The following is an 18,559-nucleotide window of genomic DNA, read 5'->3' on the forward strand; positions in this document are numbered from 1 at the left end:
GTTCCACCTACCCTCGTAATGTGCACAGAGCCCGTCTCAGATGGCTCATTCCCTTTACAGCTGATCTGTACTTCCACAGTTCTTACAGAACTGTCTTACCTTTGCCCATCCTTGTGCTAATAGTCCCATCATTAAACTCTCAGCTGAGGGAAATGCCTTTTCCTATTGGAACCTTCACTGATGCAGCCAATCACTATGAGCTCCTCCAGGGGTGTCTGATACATCTCTGTGCCCTCAGCACTATTCATGGTAGCAGGTAAATTATAAATGCTAATAGAGATTTGTTGTTTGCCCAACTATCTACCCCAACAGTAACATACTTAGGAGTCCAACTCTCCCCCGGGGCCCGAGCCATGACCCCAGCACAAGCAACCTTAATAAACAGCTTGCCCCCGCCTTCCTCAAAAAATGAACTTCTCTCTTTCTAGGACTGGCAGGTTTCTTTAGGACATGGATTCCCAACTTTGCCCTCCTGGCTCAGCCCCTCTGTGAAGCAGCCAAAGGCCCTCTCAATGAACCCCTAAGCCCCACACACAACATACTTCCCAGTTTCCGTGGACTCCAAACCACTCTCGTCACTGCACCTGCCCTGTCCTTACCCGACATCTCCCAACCCTGCGTTCTCTATGCCACCGAAAACCAAGGAATAGCTCTCGGGGTCTTAGGGCAACAAAAGGGAAATCCTCCTTCCTTTACCCCTGTGGCATACCTCTCAAAACAAACAACACTGTCAGAGGGTGGCCAACCTGTCTTAGAGCATTAGCAGCAGTGGCCATTTTAGCTCTGGAAAGTAAAAAACTAACATTCAGCCAAAGCACCACTGTCCACAGCTCTCACAACTTACAGGATCTCTTCTCCTCCCGGGTGTTAAGCTCCCTCTCTCCTTCCGGAATTCAGTCACTGTATGCCCTCTTTATTGAAAATCCTGAATTCAGCCTCACCAAAAGCGCACCCCTCAACCCAGCATCCCTACTCCCCATATCCTCTTCCCCTCCTACTCATTCTTGCACTGACATTCTGGATCGCCTGCAGCCACACTTCCCTAACATCTCCTCCGAGCCTCTCACTAACCCAGATGACCAACTATTCATAGTTGGCTCATCTTCCGGAGCCCCCGTCTCTCCCAAAATTGCTGGGTATGCAGTAGTTACCTTAAACCATGTAATTGAGGCTAAAACCCGACCCCCAGGAACCTCCTCCCAGAAGGCACAACTCATAGCGCTCACCAGAGCCCTAACCCTCTCCAAAAACAAATGGGTCAACATATACACAGACTCTAAGTATGCCTATCACATTCTTCATTCCCATGCAGCCATCTGGCAAGAGAAAGGATTCCTTACCGCCAAAAGAACCCCCATTACTAACGGCCCCCCTTATTTACCAACTCCTTCAGGCCGCACACCTCCCAACTGAAGCAAGAGTCATACACTGTCGAGAACATCAAGCAGGATCAGATGAAATCTCAAAAGGAAATAGAAAGACCGACGAGGCAGCAAAACAGGACTCCCTTTCTCCTCTCCCTGCCCCCATCCTCCTTGTCACCCCAGCAGTCCCGCCCAGATACCCTCCCACTGAAAAGTCTTCACTACTACAGCAAGGAGCCTCCCTTCAAGGGGACTGGATAATCAAAAATCAAAAGCCTGTTCTTCCCCAAGAGCAAAGCAAGGAAATTCTAACACCTCTTCACCAACCCTTCCATATCAGTGCATGCCCCCATACCTACTCCTTCGCCCTTGTTTCTCCTCCCCCCATCTATTCATCTCACTAAAGGACATAACCTCAAACTGTCGTATATGCTCTGTTACTTCCTCCCAAGGGGCCCTCTGCCCTCTCCTCATCCTTACATACCAGCTCAGAGGAACACTCCCAGGGGAGCACTGGCAAGTAAACTTCACCCACATGCCTCCCGTCAAAAAATCTAAATATCTTCTTACCCTCGTAGACACTTTTTCAGGTTGAGTAGAAGCATTTCCTACCCCTTCAGAAAAAGCTGCAGAAGTCTCTCAAATTCTCATATCAGAAATTATCCCTAGATTTGGTCTCCCGAGCCCCATACAATCAGACAATGGGCCTAGCTTCATCTCCCAAATTACCCAACAGGTCTCCCCATCCCTTGGCGTTCAGTGGCGCCTCCATATCCCATATCAGCCCCAGTCATCTGGAGAAGTCGAGAGGGCAAACGGAATTCTCACAACTCAGTTAACCAAACTCACACTTGAGATCAAAAAACCTTGGACCTCCTTTTTACCCATAGCGCTGGCTCACATCAGAGCCAGTCCAAAAGCCCCCTCCTTCCTCAGTCCATTTGAGTTAATGTACGGACGCCCTTTCCTCTTACAAAACAGACTCCCTCCTAACTCTCAATTAGGAGAGTACCTCCCAACACTCTCCCTCATCCGTCATCCCCTCCACGAACAAGCAGACCAGGCCCTCCCAAAATCCCACCAAGGCCCCACCGACCAGGCACTCCTTCCTGGAGAATATGTGTTCCTAAAAACCCTTACTTCAACGAGTCTCAAACTGAAGTGGGAAGGCCCTTTCCAAGTCCTTCTCACTACCCCCACCACAGCCAAACTTTCAGGACACAACTCTTGGTACCATCTTTCCAGGTTAAAAAGAGCCCCTGCCGCTGACCCGCCACTGACTAACCAACCAGCTGTTTCCTATAAATACTCCAGCACTCTTCTTGGAAAAACTCAACTCCACCTAATGCCCATCCCAGAAGACCCCACTCTTCCCCAGTGAACCATAACAGACAAGTTATCACCCCTTACCATTAAGTATCCAAACGCTTATTAATGGAAATCATCTATTACGCTGCCCTTGCAGGAATCACCCTACTTACTCTACTCTTTGCCATATGACTATATACCGTCTCACCTCCTGGGTGGAGTTTCAAACAAAAAATTTTCATATCTGTAACATTTTGCCTCACAATCCTCCTTATAGCAGGTATAATAACCACCACCAAGAGTTGCCCCTCCTAAATGTCCTGTCTTTGCCCGTCCTGCCGTTTCACCCTCTTCCTTCACTGCATCACAGAATTTCATGGTCCTACCCAGAACATCCCACCCTCACGGCACTTGACTGGATCACCGATCTTATATTTCAAGGGGATTTACAGGAATTCACTCCAGATGAAGCCGAATTCTTTACCTTTACACTTGCTCTCTGTCTATTTACTCCTCCTCCTTCTCACTACCGCTCCCACCTTCAGCGCGCCATTCAACAGGCACATAGGATACTCAATCAGACTAACCCCTCTCTGGCCAAGGCCTGCTGGTTCTGTGTACACCCCTCAGAAACCATATCAAAGGATGCCTTCCCAGTTCCCCTCAAAGACTGGGTCCTCATCAGTATAACCCTCCACCCCCGCTACCAAAGTTTCGGAGGAGTAAATGCACTCAAAAGTTACAAACTCAATCTTACCACACATACTTCAGAACGCAAGGTTATCTTAAGAGCACTTACTTCAGACTCAAAACTCAGCCAACAAGCATTCCTATGCATAAAATGTGAACTTTCCTCAGGAGTCCCCCCTAGGCACCCTCTCCTCTAGCTTATGCAACTATATCCTGACACTCACTCCCCCGACAGGCATCCAAACAGTAACAGTAACAAACCCCACACAAACTCTCAAAATCTCCAACCCCCCTCAGGCCCAAGTCACAGGAGAAACATCAGGATTCTGCAATAACCGACATAGGCCCTGCATAGAAATCGCAGGGTGGAGCACTTGTCTAGACCCCGTCCCCACTTCCGAATGCGTGGAAATCCCACTGCCTAACACACCCTCAAACAGACTACTTATTGACACAAAATGTTTCTTTCTACACTTAGAAAACTCATCAGTAGGAGCTAGCCAGCTCAACTCAACACACCCCCTTCAACCCCTAACCGGAGTGGCTCTAGCCTCCTCCCTCCACACCTGATGCTCAGAAAACATTTTACATCCCCTTTTTGCCATACATTTCCAATTCTGCCTCCCTAGCCAAGGTGTGTTCTTTCTATGCAGCACCTCCACCTACCTCTGTCTCCCCACCAACTGGACAGGCACCTGTACACTGGTCTTCCTCAGCCCTAAAATAGGCATAGCTCCAGGAGAAAACCTGCCTCTCCAAACCCTAAATACTCAAATCCCACACCACAGGCGCCGGGCCATACAGCTTATCCCACTACTCATAGGCCTGGGCATCACAGCAGCCACAGGCACTGGAGTAGCAGGAATCGCAACCTCCTCTTATTACCATAAAACCTTATCAAAGGACCTTTCAAATGGTGTAGATGACCTTGCAACGTCTATATCCACCTTACAAACTCAGCTAGACTCCCTAGCGGCAGTCGCCTTACAAAATCACAGAGGTCTCCACCTACTCACCGCTGACAAAGGAGGACTCTGCATTTTTCCTAGATGAAGAATGCTGCTTTTATTTTAACCAGTCAGGCTTAGTTTAGAATGCAGTAAAACAAGTTCAAAGATGCACCCAAAAAATCAGGGAAAGCAGCTCCTCTACCTGGCCCTCTTGGCCCTCTTGGTCTCTCAGCACCTGGGCCCCCTGCCTACTCCCTCTCCTTGGACCTGTTATAATTCTTTTTCTCTTCCTCCTAATCTTCAGGCCTTGCTTAATACACTTCTTCACCCAGTTTTTGCAGAATCGTATCTGAGCCTTTGCCCATGGAACCATACAGGATATAATGTTACTCCAGGAGTATCAACAATTTCAAAACTAAAGCCACCCCCTCATTCCAGCCTTTCTCCTAGTCACTGCCCTCTCAGCCTGAAGCAGCCAGACAAAAAATGGCACCCCCTTTCCTATCATCTATTAAAAGGCTGGAATGTTAGGGTCACTCCGACCAGACTGTTTTCCCTCCCTTCCCATGGGTCTTACAATGCAGTCCTTTGTGACCTCCGCACAGCTCCCCCAGGGCTAAAGACAAACCCCTCTTCACTGACCCCTCCAGTAACTGTCCAGGCAGTTACAGGATGCAGTTAACATGTCTGTTCACCTTGCGTAACAAATCTGGCAAAAAACATCTCCAGGATGCGGTCAAGACACCTGCACCCCCGACTCATCTCCCTCACCCCGACTCAGCCCTTCTGCACACCCAGCTCAGTTCCCCAACCCTGACTCAGCCCACCTACTCACCCAACTCAGCTCCCCAACCCTGACCCAGTTCCTCGCCCTATAAAGCCCTGTGGTAGTCTGTAAGCCTGGCTGTCTCCTCGGCTTTGGTCAGGATGTAGCCCGGCAGCACTGACAATAAATCAGCTTGCCTGAACTTGGGTCTATTGGCCTCATTCCTTTCTCAGCTGTCCTTCCCATTATCCCTTACAGTAGGTTGATTCTTTTATTATTATGTAACATCGCTCTTTGTTTCTAGAAGTTTCTTTGCTTGGATAAATTCTACTTTATCTGAAATAAATATGGCTATTCCTTCTTTTATAAAAAATAATTAATGCTTACACAGTATTTTTTTAGTCCTTTGACTGTCAACCTACCTATTTCATTGAAATGAAAATGAGTTACTTGTATATAGCATATAGTTGAGTCATGGTTTGTTTGTGTTTGTTTTGTTTTTTATCCACTGTGCCAATATTTGCCTTACAGTTGGTGTATTTAAACCATTTACATTTAAAGTAGTTGTTATTAGGGCTCAAGTCTTCTGTGTAATTATTCATTTTCTCTTTGTTTCCTCTCCTTGTGCCTCTGGTCCTTTCTTCTTCCTGTGTGTTACATGAACACTTTTAAGGATTCCATCTTGATTTACTTATAGCGTTTTTGAACGTACCTTTTTATGTAATTTTATTAGCAGTTGCTCTGGGTGTGACAATATACAAATGTTACTTATTACAGTCTACTGGCATTGATATTTTACCACTTCAAATTAAGCATGGAATCCTTATTTCTGTTTTAATCCCTTTATCTTTGCCCACTTTTAAACATCATAGTCTTGAATCTCAGATGCTATTGTAATTTTTTGTTCTAATCATTAAATATGATTTTTTGGCCAGGTGCGGTGGCTCACGCCTGTAATCCCAGCACTTTGGGAGGCCGAGATGGGCGGATCACGAGGTCAGGAGATCGAGAACATCCTGGCTAACACGGTGAAACCCCGTCTCTACTAAAAATACAAAATAATTAGCCGGGCGTGGTGGCAGGCGCCTGTAGTCCCAGCTACTCAGGAGGCTGAGGCAGGAGAATGGGGTGAACCTGGGAGGCGGAGCTTGCAGTGAGCCGAGATTGCGCCACTGCACTCCAGCCTGGGCGACAGAGCGAGACTCCGTCTCAAAAAAAAAAAAAAAAAAAAAAAAAAAAAAGGATGTTTTAAATTCCTGAGAAGAGCTAGTCTATTGTCTGTATTCCTGACTTTTACATTGTTCTTTCATCTTTCCCAATGTTTCAAGTTTCCTTCTTTGATCACTGTCATTCAGTTTGAGTCACTTCTTTTCTACTTCCTTTAGGTTTGCAACAAATCCTTTAAATTTACCTTCATCAGAGAATGTCTTTATTTCCCTTGTATTCCTGAAGAAGAGTGTTGTAAGAGATAGAATTCACTGTTGACAGTCCTTCTTTCAGCACTTAAGAAATGTTGTGTCACTTATTGTGGCCTCTGCGGTTTCAGATGAGAAATATGCTATTATTTGAGTTTGTATTTCCCTGTGGTAAATGTGTCGTTATGGTCTGGCTACTTTCAAGATTTGATCCTTCGCTTTCAGAAGTTTAATTACAGTGTGTCAAGACATGGATTCCTTTGGGCTTTCCTATTTTGATTGTTCAACTTCTTAAAGAAGTAGGTCTATGTATTTTAGCAAATTTGGGGAGGTTTCAGCTTTTTCTTTTTTTTTTTCAAATACCCTTTCAATACCACTCATCTTCTGCTCTCCTTTTGGGAATCCAAGGATACGAATTTTTGATCTTTTGTTATTGTCCTACAGCTCCTTGAAGATCTGTTCATTTTTTTTTCAGGATATTTTCTCTCTGTTTTTCAGATTAGGTAAATTCTATTCATCTATTTTGAAGTTCTTTGATTCTATCCTCTGTCATCTCCATTCTATTATTGAGCTCATCCAGTGAGTTTTTATTTCTGTTATTATATTTTTCAGTTCTATAATTCCCATTGGTACTTTTTAAATAACTTCAGTTTCTTTGGTGATATTTTCTATTTTTGTTTCAAGAATTCATAATTGTTCATTAAAGCATTTTTATAATAACTGCCTTAAAGTCTTTATCAGATAATTCCAGTATCTGATTCACCTCTGTGTCAGTGATTATCTTGTTTTCATTAAAGTTGTGATTTTCCTGATTCTTGATATAACTATTACTTTTCAGTTGTATCCAGAATAATTCCTTTTAACCAAATGAGTGTGAGCAAATCTGCAATGAGTAATCTGCCAAGGTTATTATTTATTCTGTTTTCAACCTGGACATTTTGTATTTTGACTATTTGGAGACTCTAAGTCTTATTTAAATATTTTATTTTAGTAGTCAGCCACCCTGCTTAGGTTTGGTACGTGGGTCCTGGCCTGACTTTTGTACACGATGATTCTGATGACAGTTTAATTTTCTGGGCCTTTGTGATGCTAGATTCATCTGTTTGGTTTATCTAGTACCATGGGGGCTCCCAGTGTGATAACCAAAAATGTCTCTAGACATTACTAAAAGTTTCCTGGGGGAGAAAATCACCTCCAGTTGAGGATCATTGCTCTCAAAACCAGAAAAATTCAGTGTCCCCAGTGTGAGACACGGCACGATCCTATGAGGCGAAGCAGATGGAAACTCTTCTAAAGCCTTATAGAAGCACTTTATGGCCTTCTCCAGTGTTTTTCTGAAGCAACTCCTTTCCCTGGGAAGAGGAAAAGGCTTTATTTGCTTCTTTCTATATCTGCCCACACTTGCCCTCATGGAAGATGTCAATGATGGCTCCTATGATAGACCAGGATTTGATTTCCTGTACAACACAGCTCAAAGATTAATTTAGCCCTTCACGGACAAGTCGTCTTTATTAAGGCATTCAATTTCAAAGTGAAATCCTTTCAGAATTACACATGAATGTGTACATACTTACATTCTGCTTTAAAACATGCTGTCAGGCCGGGCACGGTGGCTGACGCCTGTAATCCCAGCACTTTGGGAGGCTGAGGCAGGCGGATCACAACGTCAGGAGTTCGAGACCAGGCTGGCCAACACGGTGAAACCCCGTCTCTACTAAAAATAGAAAAATTAGCTGGGCATGGTGGCAGGTGCCTGTAGTCCCAGCTACTCAGGAGGCTGAGGCATAAGAATCGCTTGAACTTGGGAAGCAGAGGTGGCAGTGAGCCAAGATTGCACCACTGCACTCCAGCCTGGGCGACAGAGTGAGACTCTGTCTAAAAAACAACAAACAAACAAAAACACAAAACACGCTGTCAAAGATCATTATCTTTTTTGGTTGTTAGTTGATTTTTTTTTTTCTACATTGCTGAAATGACATCACATGACCTTTCAAAAGTTTTTGCTTTTCTGCCTGGAAGCACAGGGCAGTGTTTCATAAAAGCAAGAAAAATGTTGCTGTGCTTTTTAAAATCTCCTTATCTTGAAAAAAAAAAAAAGCTGCCAGATTGCTCAGAGTTCCTCACACTCATTTGGTTAAAAGGAGCTATTTTGGTTAATCGTTTACTGCCCTGCGGATAGAAAGCCATCCTCAAACTGTGTGAAAATAAAACGAAACTTCATAGAACACTTGTTTACAAAACGGCTGAAGTTGAAGGTCACACCCATCGGCCTCCGTGGTATTTTCTCCTTGCTAAACAAGTCTGCATTATTGCAGATTAATAAATCATCTGGGATCGCTTCACATTATCTAGTTGGTTGAGGTTCATGGACACTAAGCATTTTCCACCAATCTCCTCTAGAATGCTCATGGTGTTTTAGGCCACTCAGCATGAGTCCAGTTTGTTTTGTGGGTGCCCAAAATAAATCACACACCAGTGTAAAATAAAATTAGCTTCTCTCTCTTATTTTCAAAGAAAGATTTCTTTGAACCCTGGCCTGCTGAGTATAATAATGTTTTGTAGACATGAGCTCCGTGGACAGAAGTACAGCTGATTATCAGCTGGTTAGAGCAACTGTCTCCTGACCCTAGACTCCAGTACCTGTTCCCTTGTATACTTTGGTTGAACGATGTCGAAATTTCTTTCCACCATGTTTTGCCCTTTCTCTTCCTGTGTTTACCTTCTAACATTCAGAGGGAGTGATGTCAAAATGATTTGGAAAAGGTCTACGTAGGTCATAGATGGAGTGTAGCCATTTATCTTCAAGGCTATCCTCAAACCATGAGGCTGCTTTCTCAATGAACTTGCTTGAAGTGCTGGGGAGGTAGCTTTTTTTTTTTTTCTGTTCTGGAGAGCAATAATTACTGCACTGCATCCAGTAACCTCATTTCAGGGATTCATTGCATGACAATACCCTTCCCACCACTTTGGTAACAGAAAACAGTTTTTATGTAGTCCTTGGCCCTTGAATAGGGCAAATGTGACAATCCCTGTTTTCATCCATCTGGCTGTAACTTTCAAAATGAGCACTGGATCAGGAGCAAAAAGAGAACACAGAGTCCAGAAGCCATCAGGCTACGTGGCCAAGTAGGAGAGTCTAACCTGCAGCCTGGGATCTTGCTGTTCAAGGGTCTGTTGTCTACCACTAGCGTCATCCTTAGGATGCCATGAATGAGAGGATGCCTGAGGAAACGTCTGACAGCTACCAGTTGACTTGAGGGGCTCTCGAATCGTTTTCTGTTATAATTTCATGAGGCTGCTGGCCTGCAGTGAAATGCTGGCTTCTGAAGAAGTGTGAATTCCAAAGCTAATCAAGGCAAAAGATTTACACATGGTGGCCGAGAGTGTGAGTCCTAAGTCCTAAGTTACCTACCTCAAATCCTGGCTTCAGCCGGGCATGGTGGCTCATGCCTATAATCCTAGCACTTTGGGAGGCCGAGGCAGGTGGATTGCCTGAGCTCAGGAGTTTGAGACCAGCCTGGGCAACACGGCGAAACCCCGTTTCTATTAAAATACAAAAGAAATTAGCTGGGAGTGGCGGCTGGCACCTATAGTCCCAGGTACTCAGGAGGCTGAGGCAGGAGAATTGCTTGAACCCGGGAGGTGGAGGTTGCAGTGAGCCGAGATCACGCCACTGCATTCCAGCCTGGGTGACAGAGCGACTCCATCTCTACAAAACAAACAAACAAACAAACAAACAAACAAACCCTGGCTTCACTTGTTCCCAACCGTGTGGCCATGGGCATGTTCATGAAACTTTCTGTGTCTCAGTTTCCTCAACTACGAAATGAGGATGATGATAATAATACACAACTTACAGCATTGCTGTGTGGATTGGAGGAGACAGTGCTCGTGGAGTACTAAAGACAGAAGCTCTGAGGTCATAAGCGCTCAGTAAGCATTAGGTTTTAGGATCGGAAGCACCTGGAGAATGTCTGTCCTCACAGCCACAACCTGGCCAGAATGCCCATGTGGCCCACAACAAGTACACCATTGCTAGAAAATGTGTTTGCCGGAACAACTTCTGCAGTGTTTCTTCAGCATGGCCGAGGTGCTAAATCTATCACTAGGCTTTCAATTGCTAGCAGCCGGAATTCTTTCCAGAAAACATTTGGTGAGAACAATTTCCAAACATATTTCACAGTTGTCTTAAGGCCAACATTAGCTTTTAAACTGAAGAAAAGTCTTCACTCTTGACCTGGGGCTTTCCATTAAGACTGTAACAACTCAGAATTTCCCACTGGCCCCTGCAATTTCTTAGGAATTGAAAAGAGCGACTGCAGTTGACCTAAAGTCGCAAGTTGGTGAATTATCATTACCTGTCTCTTTGAGGCAGGGTGGTGGAGAGAGAAGGAATGTGTGTGTGTAATTAGTAAACATCAGCCCATTTTAAATTATTGTAACATATTATTTTATTTTTTAATAACAAATATACCATCTATATAAATAAAAATAAGTACTAATGTTTATTAGGCCTGTCAATATGGCTTAAGTATGTGCACGCACTTTACACACATTCTCTCACTTTTTGTTTCCTACAACCCTCTAAAGCAAGGGTTATTGTGCTATATTATAATCAAGGAAGCCACATCTGAGGATATGAGTGTTTAAATAACTGGTCCAAGGACGCACAGTGGATAAACAGCAGAACTGGGACTTAAGGCCATGGCTGTCTGACTCAAAAATCCATTATCATATGGGGACTCTCTGTACTATCTTTGCAACTGTTCTATAAATCTAAAATTATTCCAAAATAAAAAGGTCATTTAAAAAAATAAAATTTATTGCCGAAATGGCTCTACTGTGCTATTTCTCTAAATGACTTATAAAAGGATTTTGCTTTGTTTATATACTGCATTTCTGAGAAATCTTGAAAAATAGAATGCTGTATTTTCACTTGAGGATCCCTCTAGCAACTCTATTCCCAGAGTATTGTCTTGTACTTCTTCATGTAAAGCACTTAGAATAGAGCTTGACACCTGGAAAGCGCCCAATAAATGTTACTTATTATCATCATCACCACCATCACTATCACCATCATCATTATCATTGCTATCTTCATAAATCGTCATTGGCTACATTAAATCTTATATTTTTTAAAATTAGTAAATACGTTAGAGTCCCCACTAGACTGTGAATGACTGAAGAGCAAGGACAGAATTCTGCAGGTCTTCAATAACATGTTATGAAACAGATAAACCCCTATGCTCACAATTACATCCTTCAGCACTGAATCTTTAAACAGACAAGCAGTTTGTCTCCGTCTCTGTTTCTAATTTGCCTTTGCCCTGGGGGAGGAGAGATGTTGCCAAACATCTCCCTATGACTGTGACCACTTTGTAGTTCCCATCCAACTTTATAGCCCATTGTTTGGGTGAGGGATGAAATGGACTTAAAAGCTGTTCATTCCAAAGGTGGTTTTCCTTGTGCCTGAGCTCCTTTAGCTCTAACTCAGTTTGACTCAATTTGATCCTCTCTGCTATGCTGCATGTCAAGGAAAAAAAATCTATAAATGGGAACAAAATTAGTGTGACCCTCATGCCTCATGCCCAGTTTAAAAGAGCCAAATTATCTTTTCTTGCTGTCATGTTAAATATTTCTCCTGCCATGTCCCCAATTTCCACTAAATGCCAACAACGGTTTATAAATTCCTGGGCTCTAAGAAGATGAGGACATAGTCCCAGAAGCCTGATGCATCAGGATATGCAAACTCTAAAAGACAAAAGTTTTCACTGCGGCTTTGCTGACCCAGTACGCTCTGTGCATTCACTGAGGTGCCAGCCACATCACATGAGATTGCTTAACACTTGACCAGGGCACTGTTTTAAAGGATGTTAGTTCTAGGCGATTACCAGAAATACCCTCTAGCTCAGCACTATCCAACAGAACCGTCTGCAATGATGGAAATTTCTGTCTCTCCGTTGTCCCATGAGGTGCTCACGTGTAGTCATGGAGCCCTTGAAATGTGGCTAATGCAACAGAGAAACTAAAGTTTTAATTTTATTCTATTTTAAAATTTGGAGACTTAAACAGCCCCATGGGGCTAGTGGCTACCTCAACCATCCCGGTTTACCCAGGATAGAGGGGTTCCTTGGAATGTGAGAGTTTTAGCACTAAAAGCGGAACTGTTCTGGGCAAACTAAGACATTTGATCACCCTAAACTGGATCCCTTTTCAAAATACATTTGGCATTTTTGGAAGCATGAAATAGACATGTAGCAGCTACACTGTAGATTCAAAAGGAAATGAAGAGATAGGTAAATAACTGAGCTTTCCTTCCCAAGCAAAGTACAAATAAATGTTTTCTAAAAATTATTGAATTGGTGAGACCACAGGGTTGACCCTTACAAGTGAAGTAGTCTATGTAAAATCTCAGTAAAAAGCCGAGCCGTGCCGGGCAAGGTGGCTCACGCCTGTAATCCCAACACTTTGGGAGGCTGAGGCGGGTGGATTACCCGAGGCCAGGAGTTCAAGACAAGCCTGGCTGACATGGCAAAACCCCGTCTCTATTAAAAAAATACAAAAAATTAGCTGGGAGTGGTGGTGGGCACCTGTAATCCCAGCTACTCGGGAGTCTGAGGCAGGAGAATTGCCTGAACCCGGGAGGCGGATGCTGCAGTGAGCCAAGATAGCACCACTGCACTCCAGCCTGGGCAACAAGAGCAAAACTCTGTCTCATAAGATGTAAAACAGTTCCCTCAGCCACAGTTCCCTGGGCCCAGTTATAGCCAAACTTTCCCCAGGCCCTGTCCCTGGCAACTACTGATCTGTTTTCTATCCCCATAGTTTTTATTTTTTATTATGAATTTTTTTATTTTAGAGATGGGGTCTCACTCTCTTATCCAGGCTGGAATTCAGTTGTACGATCACAGCTCACTGCAGCCTCAAACTCCTGGGCTCAAGCAATTCTCCTGCTTTGGCCAACTGAGTAGCTGGAACTACAGGCTTGTGCCAACATGCCCAGCTAATTTAAAAAACCAAAAAACAAACAAACAAAAAAAAAACTTTTTTGTAGATTTGGGGTCTCACCGTTACCATCTTGCCCAGGATGATCTCCAACTCCTGGCCTCAAGTGAGCTTCCCACCTTGGCCTCCCAAAGTGTGGGGATTACAGGCATGAGCCACCTCCCCTGTCCCTGTCCCTATAGTTTTAACTTTCCCAAAATATATAAATGGAAACATAAAGTATGAAGGTTTTGAGTTTAGCTTCTTTCATTTAGCATAAGACAATTGATACATGTCCATGATGCTCTATACATCAATAGTCATTTCCTTTTTATTGCTAAATAACACTTCACTGATGGATGTACCACATATTAGTTATGCTCTGATTTAGGTACATCTGGGTTTTTTTCCAATTTTTCTCATTTATGAACAAAGCTGCTATAAACATAGATTTTCTCTTTTAAAAAATTGTTTTGGGGACAGGGACTGGTCTCACTATGTTGCTCAGGCTGATCCAGAACTCCTGGACTCAAGCAATTCTCCCACCTCAGCCTCCTGAGTAGTTGGGACTACAGGTACACACCAGCATCCCCAGCTATAAATTTTCATTTCTCTTGGGTAAATACCTAGGAGTGGGATTTCTGGGTTTTATGATAAATGTTTAAATTTATTTGAGACTGCCAAATTGTTTCCCAAAGAGACTGTATTGTTCTGTATGGCTACTACATTATATGAGCATTCCAGTCACTTTGCATTCTTGCCAGAACTTGGGTTTGTTGGTTTTTGTGTTTTTTTTTTAAGCTATTCTAATAGATGTGTAGTGGTATTACACTTTGGTTTTAATTTGCATTTCCCTAATGACTAATCATGTTTAACATTTTAGCAGCCGGGTGCAGTGGCTTATGCCTGTAATCCTAGCACTTTAGGAGGTTAAGCCAGGTGGATCACTTGAGCCCAAGAATTTAAGACCAGCTTGGGCAACATAGTGAGACCCCATCTCTCAAAAAAAAATTAAAAATTAACTGGGCATGGTGGTATGCACCTGTAGTCCCAGCTACTCAGAAGGCTGAGGTGAGAGGATGGCTGAAGCTGCGGAGGTCGAGGCTGCAGTGAGCTGAGATTGCACTGCTACACTCCAGCCTGAAAAACAGAGTGAGACCCTGTCTCAAGAAAAGAAAAAAATATTTTTCGCATGTATTTATTTGCCATCCATATATCATCTTTGTGGAAGTGTCCATTCAAATACATTTTTTTTTTCAGACAGGTTTTCACTCTGCTGCCCAGGCTGAGTGCAGTGGGGGCGATTACCAGGTTGTTACTGGAAAGGGGTCCCAATCCAGGCCCTAAGACAGCGTTCTTGGATCTCGCACAATACACACACACACACACACACACACACACACACACGCACACACATATATATACACACACACATATATATACATATATACTATATATACATATATATGCTATATATACATATATACTATATATACATATATATGCTATATATACATATATACTATATATACATATACATACATACATATATATGTATGTGTGTATATATATATGAATGCCAAAAAACACACATATCAGTGTGGAAAAATAACCCGACTTTGTTGGATTTAATGTTCATGCACTAGAGAACAACATTATTTCCATTTACTCAGAAAGTTCTTCTGTGGGGGGTTAAGAAAGTGAATGTCGCAGACATGTTCTGCTGTGTTGCACTATCCTGTGTGTATATGTATTTTTAGATTAATACAAGTCATGTGCTCTATTCCTTATGTAATTTATAAAGTTACACAAAATATAAAGAGGAATAAACTTCTCTGAAACTTTTTGGGGAAGGAAGGTAACCTAAATGTAATAGTGTCCTTTAAATGTACATGAAAATGTGCGTTCTATAATGAAATGGATTCATTCTACTACAGTAATGCATTCTATAATAAACTTGTCCTCACACTACCTGCAGAACCCACCAGTAACTGACTTGACTGCATTTTGAATCCCACTGGAGAAGGAAAGGTGATTGGGTGACCACTGAAAAATCATAACTGTCTTGAATTCCTGATCCCAGCCAAGGGTGTGGTTAAGAACCACTAGAAGTTTCTTACTGGATATAATTATCCTGGTAAAAGCTTCTCTGCCTCATAGCTCATCTACCTGCCAACCAGAGAGCCCAAAATTCACCACCGAAGATGGATTCCTTCAGACTAAGCCTCATTTTCTATTAAAACACAGATATCTTCTAAGATTGGTCATGTATGACCATATATTAGCACCATATTGTAATTAACTTTTTTACCTTTCAAATCGATCTCCACTATCAAAGTCCTGAATACTTTTGACTATGCACCCTTATCAGTAAAAAATTTCGAGCTGTGTCCCCTATATTTATATATTTATTGGTAATTACTGACAATCCATACATTAATAAGGCATATTTATTTGAAGAAGAATCCCACTGTTACTTTTTATTTTGCTTCATTTTGCTGTTCTCATGGTTCATTTGACTTAGGTCAGCATCCACATTAAAGTATATATGTATGTCAATACTACTGGTTACCCAAACCAGAACGGCTCTGCAAGTAATGATGGCTTGGATGTCTTTGAGTCACTGAGGAGAGTTAAAAACCATTCCACTTTCAGCAGTCTAGCATTTGTTACTCGGATTTTTCTTTCACCTATTCTGTTGCTTCCCATTTAATCACATTTTTGAGCATTTCTTTTTCTTGTCATTGGGCTGTTGGAGGATGGTGGTAGAGACTACAGCCCAGTTGCTGAGATAAATATGAGCCTGAAGTCAAGGCCTTGGGTCCAGTTCCTTTACAAATCAATTTATTTGCAATCTTCTGGAAGTGGTTACCAAACATTATTGTGCAGAAGAATTACTTAGAGAACTTGTTAAAAAAAAAAACAGGATTCTTAGCCAGGTGCGGTGGCTCACACCTATAATCCCAGCACTTTGGAGACCGAGGCAGGAGGATCACTTGAGGATGGGAGTTTAAGACCAGCCTGAGCAATATAGTGAGATCCCATCTTTGCAAAAAAAAAAAAAAAAAATTAATTTTTAAAATTAGCCGAGCATGGTGGTACATACCTGGAGTCCCAGCTACTCAGAAGGCTGAGGTAAGATCACTTGAGCCCAGGAGCTTGAAACTGCAGTGAGCTGAGATAACACCACAGCACTCCAGCCTGGGTGAAAGAGCAAGACTCTGTCTCAACAATAACAACAACAAGAAAAAACACAAAATGAGATTTCTGATCCCTCCCCAAGAGATTCTGATTTAATAGGTCTGCGGAGGGGACAATAATCACCATTTGTAATAAGACCCCTCCCCCACAGCACCACCCACACAGGCCGTCTGGGGTCAGGCTGTGCTTATACCCCAGGAAATATTGGAGGCATGAGAATGGTGGTTGCCAAAGCAACCTTGGCATTGGGTGAAATAGTCCAGACTTTATTACATGGTGACCATGCTCAAAAGCTTGACCTTTGTCACAGAATTGGTAGGGATAGGGCAATGGAAGGAGGGTGTGTGGGTGCGGGAGTGGGTGTGTGCAAACATGAGGCCGGGTTTCTACCAAAGGTGCTAAACAGAATTGGTTTTCCTTTTGTCTCTCTCAAAGTGGAAGTTTGTTTTGAATGCACATATTTTAATAAATTAAATGACACTTTATAAATTACACCTTTTCAATCTTACACCTCCAAAGAATTATTTCTAAATTCGTGTCTTGTTAACAAATGTGCCATTTGTGCCCCCTCAAAAAAGAATGTTTTAAAATGGACATCTTGGTTCCTGGTTCACAATGAGATTTAGGTCAAGTGTGAATTATGATCACAAGGTAAACATATTACTGTGGCACCGAAAGAATGTAGGGATCACAAGACAGACTTCCAGGTGTACATTTTGCTACTTGCTACAGATGAGTTACTTAATTTGGGTTGTGGGGAGGAGTTGGATAATTTATTTACTAAAAAGCTCTTAAGACCCCAAATCTGTAAGCCTATTCCTCAGATCCTAAACATACCCAGATCTGTCTGTATCCCAGTGTGAACACACAATACACCTTCTCCTAAAAGTGAGACCCCAGATCTACTGATAGATAAAGTGAATGACAGTTATTGCTGAAGTAGAAATAAAATCATATTTCAAATACAGTTTCTTCATAAAGTCCTATGGCAATTTTTACCCTTTCTGCATTTTTCTTTGAGGCCTAACCTTGAGAAATCAATAAGCATAATTGGTTAGAAAATTGAATTTCTTTCTCTTTGCTTACAGGAATTAATTTGGCAAGCCATAGTTAATTTAGTGAGCATGTTTGCACTAACCATATTTTATATGTCTAACACATGGTATACAATTGTGCTCTGTGATCATTGTGAAATGATGCCTGCGGCCTGTGTTACGAAAGTTCAGAGCTGCAGCAAAGCTTTAGGGAGACTCACACGATGTGAGCGGGGGGCAGTTCTAGCTTCCTGATTCCGTGAAGGGCATACCCTCAAGTGTAAATCTATTATTTGCTGCCGGTTGAAATCTTGTTAGTCCTCAGGGAACAGTTTTCTGGAGATCATTCTAAATCAAATCCATGGGATTTCTAGCCCAGGATCCCTGAGATTTGTCAGTTTGGTTCAATAGGAAGACCTAACAGCTAGGACATTCCAAAAAATCATGATATAGATGGTTTACTTTCAGTGCCTTGACCTACTGTCATGGACCGCTCTGCCACTTCGCCCTGCTGTCTCCTTCCTTCTGGGGCTTCCATGTACCCCCAGGAAAACTCATTTTCCCCTTTCTTGTGTCTTGGGATGGTTTTCAGTGTTTGTCAGTGTGAAAGGAAAATAAATCTCAGGAGCCCACAATGAGTAAGCCAAAGGGAAGTCAAGCTGGGACCTTCCTCCCACTTCGTCCTAAATAAGATAGCTACAATGAGATAACTGCTTCATGATTCGCTAACAAGAAAATTCCTTGTGGACAAAGGACAGACGGACCTCAAAGTCATCCCTCTGCCCAAGTGAGACAAATGCATATCTGATGGCTTCCTTTGCCCTGTTGTTTCCAAACTAAGGCATAG

General features: G+C 42.7%; 2 annotated features.

Annotated features, from left to right (window-relative positions):
• Nucleotides 7,568–8,136: an enhancer, noted in NCBI's record as "H3K27ac-H3K4me1 hESC enhancer chr6:11794232-11794800 (GRCh37/hg19 assembly coordinates)". NCBI's record gives its function as "activates a minimal SCP1, AML or CMV promoter by ChIP-STARR-seq in primed H9 embryonic stem cells {active_cell/tissue: H9 hESC(primed)}" and the evidence as "EXISTENCE:reporter gene assay evidence [ECO:0000049][PMID:30033119]".
• Nucleotides 8,137–8,705: an enhancer, noted in NCBI's record as "H3K27ac-H3K4me1 hESC enhancer chr6:11794801-11795369 (GRCh37/hg19 assembly coordinates)". NCBI's record gives its function as "activates a minimal SCP1, AML or CMV promoter by ChIP-STARR-seq in primed H9 embryonic stem cells {active_cell/tissue: H9 hESC(primed)}" and the evidence as "EXISTENCE:reporter gene assay evidence [ECO:0000049][PMID:30033119]".

The sequence above is a fragment of the Homo sapiens genome, chromosome 6 (assembly GCF_000001405.40).
Source record: "Homo sapiens chromosome 6, GRCh38.p14 Primary Assembly".
In the NCBI taxonomy this organism is placed as follows: Eukaryota; Metazoa; Chordata; class Mammalia; order Primates; family Hominidae; genus Homo; species Homo sapiens.